Consider the following 13,570-nt stretch of genomic DNA (forward strand, 5'->3'; position numbering starts at 1 on the left):
CATAATGGACTGATTCTCTTCCCATGCAAAAGGAAGATGTGATGTGCAAATGTCTTATAGAAGAGAGCCGTCTGAAGTCCTAACTCTTCTCTGCATATGTTAAGGATCTTGACCCACCTGAGCTAAATAGTTTATCCCTGTAAGAGCATATATTCCATAAATGTTTGTTTTCTCACTCATCGAATCACAGAACCAGAATTGTAACAACAATATGTGTGGAGTCACCAGGTCAGGTTATTTTCCTTAGCAGTACTTAATTAAAGAGTCCTTTAGCTCAGTACTCTATGAGGGCAAAAACATTTTATTTAAATAAGAACTAAGCCATCTTTTTGGGTAAACTGTATACTGTTTTCTAAAGGCTAGCATATATATATTTATGGTGCGTGTGTGTGTGTGTAATACATGACTGTGTATGCATGTGTGTGTGTGTGTATATATATATATACACACACCAGGCAATTACAAACAAGATTTAGGCATAACTGCTGATTGCCCTAACATTAATCCTTAACTCCAGCATATATATGGAATGGTGAAGCCCTTAGCTCCAAGAGTTCTTAACAGTCCCCTTAAGAATTGTGTAGGGAGAATTTAGGGGGTCCATATACTTAGATGAGGAAAAAAATTACACCTTTGTTTTCATTAACTTCTAATGAAATTTAGCATTTCCTTCAAGTATTACAATAGACAACAAGCTACTGTTACCAATAGAAATCACACATATTTTCTCATCACATTATAGCTGTTGCAAAATCTCAAAAAGTAATTTACTCTCATTACCTTAAAATCATGTTAGTTATTAGATCAGTCTAGATCTTGTTATTGTCTACCTCAAGAGGCACATATATTGCTGTATCATAAATTTTTAAATATCTTGATAACTGTGTTTCTATAAATTGATATAAGTTGAAAATTGAATCAAAACTGTATTTTCATACATTTAAAAACACTATTAGAAGGGGTCCACAGGCTTCACCAGACTGCCAGAGGGTCCGCTGCACAGAAAAAATGTTCAGAACCTCTGCCAGAAGTGGCCATGATTTGTTGTTTGTATTTGGCAAAGTGAGCTATTTTATTTCCAACACATTTTGTTCTTTCTGTGTCCCAAACATTTATTCAACAAACATTTATTGACCCTCTATGTGTGCCAAGTACTAGATGCTGGACATTCAGAAGTTAGTAATATAAGTAACATCTTTACCTTCAAGGAGCATAATTCTAGTAGGAAGATGTGGGCAATAGAAAAGTAAATAAACAGTAGTTTTAAATTTAAAAAAAAGGTGCTGTGAAGGAAATAAACAGAATGTTAAGTAAATGGGTAAAGTGAGGGAGTCAGGAAACTCTCTCTGGAGAGTTGAGATCTGAAGGATGGGCATATGCCAAGCATGGGAAATGCTGGGAAATATGTATTCCAGACAGAGGAAAAAGGAATGCAAATACAGCAATAATGCAAAAATCTTATGTTGGCCCATGGTCGACTGGCTACATTCTGGTTAGAGTGCTGATAAACTAAGTTCAGATGGTTTTCTCCCTTGGTTTGCAAGTGCTCAACTTCAGCCTCTGTGCTCAGAGTTCATCAACTACATTTATGTTGCTCTTACTACTTCTCCATTGCACTTGCACACATCCATGTAAGACAGGAACCATGGGATTTGTAGCTCACTTATACAACTCTCAAATGCCTTTTAAAGGCTGACCTCATCATCTTCCAGCGTAAGTCCTACCTGAAGAATCCTGCTATGGTTTAAATGTTTGCCCCCTTAAACATCAGGTTGGAATTTGATCCCCAGTGTTGGAGGTATAGCCTCATGGGAAGTGTTGGGTCATAGGGGTGGATCCCTCATGAATAGATTAATGCCTCCCTTGGGATGGGAGTAGATGGGGAGTGAGTGAGTTCTCACTCTATTAGGTTCTAAGAGAGCTGATTGGTAAAAGGAGCCTGGCACTACCTCCCCCTAGCCCCTGCTGCTTCCTCTCTCTCACCATGGGATCTCTGCCCACCCTGATTCCCCTTCATCTTCCATTATAAAGTAGAAGTAGGCTGAGGCCTCACCCATTCAGATGCCCAATTGCTTTTTTTTCTTTATAAATTCTTGCCCAGCCTCAGGTATTCCTTCATAGCAATACAAAATGGACTAAGGCAAATCCCCTAATCTAGCTCTCATTATTTTTCTCAGTACAAATATTTCAGCTCAAGATAGAAAAGGTAAGAGCTGATAAAGAAGCACATTGTTACACTTTCAGTGTAATAGACCTCTGCACCCAGTTGAAAACTTCTGGAAACACTTTAGGTCTTTCATTACAATTAAATGTCAAGGTCTTTGGCTAATACTTCTCTGAAGTATGCACAAGTACAAAATGACATATGGATGTCTCTAAAACAGAAGATTAATAATCATACTTTGGGCTACTGTTTATTGTTAATGCTATTTAGAATGTTTGTATTAGCATATTTTTTCCTTTCTTGCTCCTATTAATGACTATGCTATGTATAGTAAAAACTAGGTTTTGGCCTCTGGCATCCATTCATCCTACTTCCTTTACTAATTCTCCTTTCTATTTTGAGTATCCTCTTTCCCGATGCTCCACTTACAGCAGGAATGGCAAAAAATGACTCCACGCTCAACTCCATAGATATCATGTGACCTAAGCCCAACTGAACAGAACTTCAGGATCTTCTGGCTACAGTGATTTGTTTGGAGAAAGACATCAGAGATGATGGGATGCCATTAAACTCAATGAAACTTCTGGATCTTAATTTAAACATAATGAGAGTAAATAATTGCTAAAGAATTAACCCAACATATAACAGAGAGCAGAGCCAAACCAACAGAGTCGCAGTATCCCTGCTAAGTAAAGCCTTTCCTGAAACCAGATATGCTTGGAATGTTTAGTTCCATTAGTGAATAAATTCCCTTTTGACTTAAACCAACTTGGGCTGGGTTTTCTGTCACAACAGAAATTGTCCTGATACCTGATAATTATTGAAGACAAATTCATTCACCAACTTGTCCAGTGGTTCTGCCACACTATATTATTATCTGCTGCTCAGCCTTTAGCCATATTGTATTCATCCTTAAATTGACTTATCATTGTCTTACATTAGAGTAGAATTATTTTCCCTTCCCATTTTTACTCCTCATTCTATTTGTTCACAGTATTCTTCTCGATTTAAGATCAAATAACCAAGCTTACTCTACATTAACTTGCTGTTTTGCATGTTTGAAGATAGTTCTTAAACACAATCTCCACAACCCCTTACTATGATTCACAGCATTAAACCATTAAACTAAAAGACCAATACAGATTTATAAATGCCAGGCAGGAAATAACTAGTAGCTGACTTCATGAGTCCAGTGCAGAGAAACAAGTTTCAAATAATACCTTCTATTTAAACTGTGTGGTGTTTATATTCCAAAGGGCAAACAGCAAAAGTCTGATATTATTACCTCACACACAAATGTACATGAAACGGTTTATATGAAAGTTTAATGAACTTAACTCCGTTCCAAAATCTTGCAGCTCAGCAGCCCACTTTGGGCTACATAATTTATCCATCTAGCTGATAACATCTCTAAATTGAAAATGGGTTTCTCTCTTTTACTAAAAATATTTGGGTTGCCTCTGTGCAAAGTGAATTTGCCATTTTCCACTTAATCAGAGTTAGACTACTGTTAGACTATGATGAAAACTCCAGATCAGGCAGCTGGGACTGCCTTCAAAATCTGTCTCCATTTGCTCATCAGGAGACCTGTAGAAACCTGTTTCTCTTGAGATCTGACTTCTCTACTGGGAGCTCAGAGACGATAGGAACACAAACTACCAGCCTCCTAGGGTCAGTGTAAGAATTAAAGGTGACGTTGGTCAACTAATGAAGCAATTTTAAATAATTATGAAAAGAGGGAAAGGTGTACTCTTTAACTTCTGATTTATTTTTATATATTTTTAAATCCTCCAAATTGTTTCAAATCAGTAATTTGGCTTAAGAAACAGCATTTTCTCATCAGTGAGATAGCTACATGATTGTCTTTTCTTCTTCTCTGCTCCTGACAGAGTTTGGAGACCCCAGAGCTAGAGTTTCTGGCAGAAATGAGACATTCCAGGCCTTCTGGGGACACAGTATATGTACCCTCATCTTGTGCAGAGAGTACATTACTGAAAAGCGCATGCTATGGGTGGGAAACAAAAACAACAGGCCCCAAATAGCCTCAAGCTGAATTCATTACCTGTGGATTCTGTGCTAATGATTTGGGGAATGCACTGATGCTTAATATTTTATCTGTTTAGCACCACTGTAAGAGCTGGGCTCTGAAGCAAGCCCCGCACTGAGAATCTAATGTCTGAAATTTGTTCTGGAAGACACTGAACTGGGCAGGAGTGAGGCACATTGGAAAAGAATCATTTTTCTCCTTGGCTCTTGCTGCTTCAAAAGCAAAGCCCAAGCCTTCAGGAACTGGGGCTGTCTCCCAGGGCATAGCTAGTCTGGGGTCTGGGAGGTGGCCTCCAAGGAGAGGGTTCAGGCTGCCATTCAGAGGCAGGTTCCCTGTCTGATGCCCATGGTCCTTTGTTCACCTGCTGCTGGGAGAGTGGCAGAATAGCAAGAATTTGAGGTTTAAACTCTGGGTGTGACTTTTGTCATGGATCCCACTGACAGCTTGAAGTCAGAGGCATTCAGGTAAGCTCTGTACACAATAGGCTGGGATAGGAAGGGCTCCAGGAGTGACAACTGAGTATTGGGTTATTATTGATATTATTCCTAATATTCACTTAAGCCCCAGCTGGCTTCAGTGGCATTACCACTGAGCTTAATGTTTAAGAAAGAAATAGGGAGACTCTCTGTTCACATGGAGTAAAGTAGAGAAACTGCCATGATCATCCAAAACAATTCAGGCAAAACAGCATTTTTACATAAAAAATCCAGATAATTAAAGTAAAAAATAGCATGTTGGTTGGGCTTAAACAGATAGTCACCTTAATTCTCCATTTAAATTTTCACATTTTAGAATTGTGTGTTTCCCATCTCTTCCCAAGATAATTTGAGGTAACTAAAACCTGCAGAGTAAAATACGATTTTTAAAGAGACCAATCAGGTTAATAAGAATAGTAGCTAACATTTATATAGAGCTTACTCTGTTCCAGGCATCATCTTAAACACTTTACATTTTTAAACCCCTCACCAGGACTCTAAAAAACAGTTACAATTATTGTCTCTATTTTAGAGATGAGAAAACTGAAGCACAGAGGAGTTAAGAAACTTGTTGGAAGTCATACACCCTAGAGAAAGCGATGGAGCAGAATTCAAACTCAGGCTGTCTGGCTCCGGAGCCTGTGTTCTTAACAGCGATGCTGTACTTCCTGTGAGAAGAGCAAGATGAAACTAGATGGAGGAAACACCAGAGACAGCCACAGGCAGTTACCAGAGGTGGGCCACAGGGGTGTCTGTGAGTCTTCAGGACCAAAACCAAAAGGGACCCTGGATAAGCTACAGTACTGATAAAAGGAGAACATATCAGATGCTCAGGACACACACACACACACACACACACACACACTCACACTCAGCCCAGCTGGGATGACTGAGTTCTTCTTCTAAAGTAGATGTTTGGGTGGGACAGAGGAGAGAGGTAGGCAACAATGCCTTTCACCACAGCCAGGCTGACAGCAGCAAATTACATAGGGCTATTTGTTTAACATGCCTTCAAAGCAGACCAAAGGTATAACATCAAAGCACCAAATTTGATTTTACAAATTCAGTAAAACCGACTCTTCAAGAGGAGGGAAAACCAGTAAGATGCAAATAGTCATTTCTCTGATGGTCTGGTTTGATACAGAGATAAAAATCAAGCATATCCAGTGGAATAAAATAACAGCATATCTTCCAGGCAATCCTCCATGAATATTATTTCTCATAGGAAAGCTTTAGGCAAATGTTGAACACAGACAAAAGAGGTAGAAACGTTGTATTGCTAATGAAATCTATATGCTTTTGAAAAATCAGCTATGGAGAAAGTAAAAAGGAAGTTCCCCTTAAGACACTAGGGGGATATGTCCCAGAGACTTACTGGTAAGGTCACTCAACTGCCCTTGTGGGTCAGCATATCTGCATTGCATCCTATATTTTATTTTTTTAAATGGAACCAATCTAAAAAAACAAGTTCTTATTTTAGAAGCCAACTAAAGTCATTTTTTAAAGTGTGAGATAGTATATTTGTATTTTTTAAAAACAAAATGTAAAAGCTGGTACTGAGGTTATGCATGAGTGCAAAACATAACAGGCAAGGAATATAAAATGTAGGCCACTGCTTTACTGCTGTTTGTTTTCAACTTTAATATTGCCTGTACTGCAACTTCTCCCATGGTGCTAATAACCCAAACTAAGGCCCTGCAGTTGTAAAAAATGGGTGATTTCACTTTTTTAAAAACCCAGGATAATCCCATGTCTGGCACCTTATAATTCAGTGTGAGATTTTTCTGAAAAATGAGATTTACAGATTAATAACTTTTCTGTCTCAATTATCCCCCCCACCCCCCACCACCACTTCCTCACCCTCCCTCCACATCAATGAAATTGTGACTTACTGGCCAAATATCAGTACAGTATCCCAGTCACCTTACATGCTAGGGTGCTCACCAACTTTGTTTCCTTAAGATTCCATAGGCTTGCCCCAGGAAACAGATTGCTGAATGCCTCACGCTGAATGCCTCACGCTGAATGCCTCACGCTGTTCTTAAGGAGACCATGTTTTTGCTCTCACTGCAAATGGCTGTAAATCCAGCCCAGCCTCATCCGGTCTTCAGGTGGACCTCATCAGTTGTAGGCATCTTATCAGCACGAAACAGCCTCTCCTAATGGCTTGATAAATATTCCTGCCTCCCCAGAATCAGTTATCGAGAGATTCAAATCATGGTCAGTACTTATAACAGCTATTACTACAGACTTAATGCCAGTTACCCTTTGTACTTATCTCTGTAACCAGAGAGGCTGAAAAGCTCTTGTTATGTCCCCACTCCTGGTCACTAAAAGCAGAGTTCATTCAAATTTTCCTCCTGCCTAGGAAGCTCGCAGGCCTGTTACAAAAATTGAAGAGGACATTTGTACGAATATAAAATAAAATGTATGTTTCCCTGGCATCCACTTTCTCCCCACAACCCTGCCCTAAATTTGGCACCAGGGCGAAGGAATGTTAAGTCTTAAATGGTGCGGCAGAATGAAGGTAGAAACAAACCTCACTGCCTTTGGGTTAGTTCCACATAAGAGAAAACGCTTTCAGGGGGATATGGTTTTTTCCCCTTCTGTCTCTTTGTTCTAATGAAATTGACCTACAGAGTCTGAAATCCAAAGAATGTAGGATTCTGGATTTATGAAATTTTACCAGCTGTCTATGGAAAACAAGTACTTTCTCCCGAATGGACCTAACAACATACAATTTACGAAAGTAATTATAAAACCTCAATTGTCAGGAAGATTAAGAGGAGCCGTAAGGTAAAACCTTCACTCCTCTTCATGGGAAATGGACACCATGTGATACATAAAGAGGGTCTGGGAACTCTTTTTTTCTTTTTTTGAGATGGAGTTTTGCTCGTCACCCAGGCTGGAGTGCAATGTCACGATCTCAGCTCACAGCAACTTCCACCTCCCAGGTACAAGCAATTCTCCTGCCTCAGCCTCCTGAGTAGCTGGTATTACAGGTGCATGCCACCATGCCCGGCTAATTTTTGTACTTTTTTTTTTTTTTTTAGTAGAGACAGGGTTTCACCACATTGGCCAGACCGGTCTCGAACTCCTAACCTCAGGTCATCTACCCGCCTCAGCCTCCCAAAGTGCTGGGGTTGCAGGTGTGAGCCACTGCACTCAGAACTCTTTTATAAGGAAAAATGGCAGTATATAGGGACAAGCGGTACCTCCTGAAGAAAGCTAAAAGGAATCTAAGGCTTATGAGGCCACCCTTCAAAAAAGTAAAACTGCACACACTTTCAACGGTTCTTTAAAGTGTTATCACTTACCGCTCTACAGAGAAACAATGTTCTACAGAACACCAGGCTTACAGCTTGATTTTTCTAGAATTCACACTTGTGTACAGCAGTTTTTGTGCTCAAAATTTTTCCTTTTGTGTCCTCTTGTTGACTCTCACAACAGCCCTTGGCACGAGGAAAATAGAAACATCCCCATTTCATTGATAATATCATTGAGGCTCAGGCAAAGTTAAACAGTTTGTCCAAGGTCACACAATCACGTAGTAATGGAGCATATATTTTGGTTTATGCACAGCTTACGGGGCTCTGCCACACTGCTACCAAGGGTAACAGAGCTGGGAGCTGATGGATGTGAGAAGAGGACTAGCCATGAACCAGAGTGTAGACTGACCTGCCAGTGGCCGTTTCTGAAGCACATACTTCTAATCCAGCCCAAACTTTGATTCATATCCCTAGTTGTCATTTTTGCACAAAAAGAAATGAACCCAAAAAGTATCTCCTTTTATATTGCTTATAAAAATGTCCCTTTTACAGGCCTTCATCTCCTTTCTTCATAGGGTCATGCTCTTTCCATAGTAAGCAGCTGCAGTCCCTTGGTGTCTTGTCAGTATCTGAGGCTGACCTTCCCCAGGAAAGTTTCAGGATCTGTCAGCCTTTGTCTAAACTCCAACGGTGTGTCAAGGTGAGAGGAGGGGGCAAGGGCTGAAGCAGAGATCTGTGTTCTGCTCTGGGTTGTGGAACTCCAGGCTCCTTGTCCTCTCCCAGGCCCAGAGACAAGCCCCTCTGACTCAGTTTATCTGCTGTGAAGCAGTGCACAGAACTACGTCCTACCTGAGGTCACCTGTGAGAACAGTCAGCAGAGATTGTTCTGCCACCTGTGGACAGCAAGTGAGCTCAAGGTTGGAAACTGGCCCCAGCATGCCTAAGGCCATGAAAACGTCTTTGCTTAATCTCTTGAAGAAAAAAGGTTAAATTCCTCCGGCCACTTTTTTCCTGTAAGTGGAAAAACTTGCTCAATCTGTGAGCCCGTGGTTGACAATTGTATAATTGTGGAACTGAATAGATGGCAGTAGATGTTCCTCTGGTTTTCAACACCTTTCAGTGCCATACTCAGGAGAGGAAAGTGCCATTCACTATTATCTTTCAACCCCTCCTGCCTCTTGCCCAGAATGGGGGAAGAAAATTCATGCTGGATTCTTCCTTCACACAGAGATGAAATGGTCTGATAGTATAGACAGGGCTGCATTCCAAGTCCTTCTGAGGCCATTTAGACGCGTTTCATCATTGCGACTGTTGTTTTAGGTCTCATTTGCTCACATCTCAGCCCCACCAACAAGCCTAGGCCTGCCCCATTTCTTTCCCTCTGAAGCTTTTTCCCCACAACAAGCCAGGGAACTCCTCACCTCCCCTTACACACTAAGGAACTAATGAAAGAACATGTCCTAACTCAGTAAGCAGCAGGCTTGGTGTTTCTCGTTTTTCCTTGGCATTCATACTGTCATCCCCAAATAAGATTTATCCATAAATATTTTATTTCTTCCTAACTCCACTGGAATATTTAGTTCATTTTTATATCTCATTTCCTATCTGGCACAAATTTTTTCTTATTGGTACATATCCCTTTTATGTGGTCCTTGCATCTATTTTTCAAAGTTGCCCTCCTCCCCACCCACCCCCAAAAAGAAACAATGTTTCTGTTAAACATTGTTTAACAGAAATTTCTGGGGCAGTATGTCAGCTGGCTTTTAGTTTTTGTTGTTTACTGTCTTCTCTAGATCATCCCAAGTGCACTTTCACAATGACTCTAACTCTCAGAAGACCTGGCTGAAACGTCAACTTCTAAATGAAATTAGTTCTTCTAAATGGTAATACATTCTCCAGCTCGCCCTGTGAGAGGCTTCCTTGGCAGGATCCCACGCAGGAGAGAACACCAATGAAGACAAGTCAGCACCATGACGACCTCCACAAAGACAATGGCGCTCTGATTCACGCCTGAAATATTTGTTGTTGATGGTGCAAATAAATGGTAAGACTTCTGAAAATGACTTTTCAGAAGATTGACTCATAAGTAGCTGAGTCAATCACCTGGGTAACTGGGCAAACAGACAGTCAAGGAAAAAAAGAAATTTAAACGTAAACCAGTGCCACCATCATGCCAATGGGTGGCAAAGAGCCTGAAGCAGTCGTAAAATAAAAATGTTGAATGGCTTTAAGAGAAAAAAAACAACATGCAAGGAGGGAACCATAACCTTAGGGCTTGGAGAAGAAGTTCCTTTAGCCTGTCCTGCTCTGATCCCGAATGTCTCGAAGTGATTCCTGAGCTTTTATTCAGATTATTTGTTATGTACCAGTTGAAACAAGGTGGGAACCAACCCAATCCATCTCACAAACCCACATCAGCCTTAGTCTTTCATGAGGTGTGGATTGTGCTAGTTCACTGTCCCAGAGGAAGACAGCTGGAGGCGAATGAATTCAGGATACTCTTCTTTTTGTCTTAAAGTCTCTCAAGCTTCGAGACAATTAAAATCCGACCTGGGGAAGCTTATTAAGGAGACGATGTTCTTGTACATTTCTAATCCCTACCACTCTACCATATATTCTGCTTGTGGCTAAATATTTTGTGATATTAATTACTTTTTTTTCCTCCACTTTTTTTCTGACTACCCCCTGCCCCATTTAAGTAGACTCCGCGTTGCTTTGCCCCAGGGGAAGTTCATTTTATAATCAGAAAGTAGAAAGTCTCAGGGCTTCCTGGCTTTGCTTTCCAAAAGCCTAAACTTTTAGAACGCAGTGAGTTCACTGGAGAGGGAAGAAGGAAGAGAAGGAAGTTTATAGGCAGAAGCAGAGTAGCTTTGGAGAAGCCTAGGAAGATACCAGAATAAAACTGATTTTTCCATGTCTAGAGGTAAGAAATCAGGGAACAGAGCAGTTGTCTGATTCCAGGGGGACAAAAACTTGGATCAGCTCTCAGGCAGCACCACAGGGAGGGGTGCAGAGAGGCGTGATCATGAGATCGATCTAAGAGTAGGCACAGTCTCTGATATTCCTTACCCATCTCTGCTCATGGACTGAATTTCAAATCTTCTCTTCCTGTGGTGACCTCATTAGACTTACTAAGAATTTTCACACAGCACAGGTGCTATGTGGATAGATTTCAGTGGCAAAATTGAGATCAGCAGAGAAAAAAAACCCTTTGAGGTTGACTTTTTGTTTTTTGTTTTTTTTCCTAGGTGGTGGGCTAGTTGTTCTATTGGTTTCAACCATTTGTTGACCCACACAAATGGCAATTTCATAAGGTTCACAAATTAATGAAAAGGTAGTCTATCCACCTGGCAGGTGCTGACCTTGCTGGATCAATGGGAGAGCTCTGCCCATTAAAGGGTTTCCCTGAGCAAAGGTCCTCCACATAAACTCTTGCTGTCCTCCTGACATACATGGAACACCCACTGATGAGGCATTGCTGTGAGTCCTGGCAGAGGAAAAGTGAGATCGGGTGTGAAGGAGAGTTAGGTGGCTACAAGCTGGGAGCAAGAAGGATCACAAATTAAAACACAAATCTACTTGGCAGCCTTTTGTTTTCTCTTGCAGAGGCTTGGCTTTCCTAAATAGATGCATTTTTCCATCTTTTTGTTTCCCATCTTCAAATGTATGCTTGTGTTTTTAAGTATATCTCTGAGCAACAATGAAGAATAAACTAACAATAGTCCCTTAGTTGCAGTGAAAGCAATAAAATAAAACCCTTTCATTGATGTCAAGAGAATAAAAGGCTCAGGCTTGGGATATTTTCAGAGTAAACCACTTTTAAAATATTAAGAAGTTAGAGTTGAATATATACCCATGAGATTCCAAGGAATAGTGGAAGAAAAGACGTATCTCCAAACTTGATCTCAGATCCCTGCTGACAAGCAAAGCAGAGTTCCACAGAGCCCATTTTATTTGGGCGTATTTTACTTTGTAACTGTCAGTCAGCTCCAAAGCCACCTCTCCCAGGAAGCCTTCCCTTATTTCTCCAGCTACAATGGATTTCTGCCTTCTCTGCTTTTCCATGAAACTTTATGTTATATAATGAGATTCTTCCTTGGGTTATTCAAACACCACTCATCTATGAACACCCATTATATTCAAGGCATGCCATATAAAGATGTAGAAAACACAGCCCTGCCCTTAAGATGCGTAAAGTCTAGAAGGTAGTTGTTTCGTGGGCATTTATTTTGGCCTGTGCCAAAGGTCTTGGCATATCTTAGGTCTTCTATTAGACTGCAAGTTTCTTAAGGACAGGATTTGTGTCCATTTCTCTCTCTCATGAAGTAGTGCCTAGCACTGTGCTCAGCACATACCAATACAGGGTTCCATAATGTTTGAATGGAATCCCCAGATTTAGGGGTGAACTTTAAAACTGGATGGACGGATTAAAAAGTACCTGCTCCACACTATGTCTCCCCCCACACCCATTTGCTTCTCTTTTCGGCCAGACTCCAGCAAGCTTCTGCAGTGAGGTTCAAAGCATTGAGCCCTTGCTCCTTCACTCACTCAGTCCTCCTAACCTTACAACCTAACCTCACACTAAACCTGAAGGCCATTCTCTATTGCAAAGATGTTACCAAGCACAGTCATTCCCTTTTCTCCTCTCTCCCCCTACCCTGCCTACTGCCAGGACATACGGTTTGCTTTGCCTTTAAGTGCATTTTCTTGAAGACAGTTGTAGAAAACTTTTCTCATTGTAAATTCTCTGGGTAACCATTTTGCTTCTACCCTCCTTATGGTGTGATTTTTTTTTCTTTTGTTAATGTTACCTGACTAGTGAAATACTACCTTCATTCATGAAGAATTTTATGTGCTGAAAATTCTATTTAATGCTCTAAATCTTGGGGGTGTATATCAAGCCAAGAGTTAGAATCATAGTGAGGAGGCCCAGTGTCTTAATTTGGATTCCTCAAATGCAGACTCTGAGACAAGGGATAGAATGCCAGGATTTGGAAGTTGATCCTAGGAGGCATAAGGAAGGAATGGGAAAGTGTCTTCATTTGTTCATTCTGCTATAACAAAACACCATAGACTGGGTCACTTATAAACTACAGAAATTTATTTCTCACAGTTCTGAAGCCTGGAAGTCTGAGATCAGGGTGTCAGCATGGTCATGTGCTGATGCAGGTGAACCTCCAGGTTGCAGACTTCTCACGTGGTTAAAAAAAAATGCAAGAGAACCCTCTGTGGTCCCTTTTTATAAGGACACTAATCTCATTCATCGGGGCTCTGTCCTCATGACCTAACTGCCTTCCGAAGGCCCACTACCTAATACCATCCCACTGGGGGTTAGAATTTCAACATATAAATTTGGGGGGAATACAAACATTCGGTTCATAACAGAAAGTGAAACAAGGAAGGGAAGGAAATCAACAAAGGATGTGTGAATGCTGAGGACCCTATAGGATACTGTGCAGACATGCCTCGGAATTGACTCACCTAGGGGCATGGAGGCTGGAGGATTTATCCACCAACTCCACTCCACCACTCTGGTTGAGGACTGCTTATGGGCATTAATACCCCTGCCTTGTCCAGCATGCTCCTGAAGCCAGGAAAAGCCCAGGCAGAGAGA

General features: G+C 40.9%; 3 annotated features.

Moving 5' to 3' along the window:
- Window positions 4,134–4,334: a silencer, noted in NCBI's record as "peak6630 fragment used in MPRA reporter construct". NCBI's record gives its function as "represses an SCP1 promoter by STARR-seq MPRAs in K562 erythroleukemia cells {active_cell/tissue: K562}" and the evidence as "EXISTENCE:reporter gene assay evidence [ECO:0000049][PMID:32103011]".
- Window positions 9,350–10,549: an enhancer, noted in NCBI's record as "P300/CBP strongly-dependent group 1 enhancer chr7:91186891-91188090 (GRCh37/hg19 assembly coordinates)". NCBI's record gives its function as "activates an origin of replication core promoter dependent on BRD2, BRD4, P300/CBP, MED14 and CDK7 cofactors, with strong dependence on P300/CBP, by STARR-seq in HCT116 cells {active_cell/tissue: HCT116}" and the evidence as "EXISTENCE:reporter gene assay evidence [ECO:0000049][PMID:35650434]".
- Window positions 10,024–10,073: an enhancer, noted in NCBI's record as "active region_26255". NCBI's record gives its function as "activates an Ori minimal core promoter by ATAC-STARR-seq in GM12878 lymphoblastoid cells {active_cell/tissue: GM12878}" and the evidence as "EXISTENCE:reporter gene assay evidence [ECO:0000049][PMID:35858748]".

This window comes from Homo sapiens, chromosome 7 (genome assembly GCF_000001405.40).
Source record: "Homo sapiens chromosome 7, GRCh38.p14 Primary Assembly".
Lineage (NCBI taxonomy): Eukaryota > Metazoa > Chordata > Mammalia > Primates > Hominidae > Homo > Homo sapiens.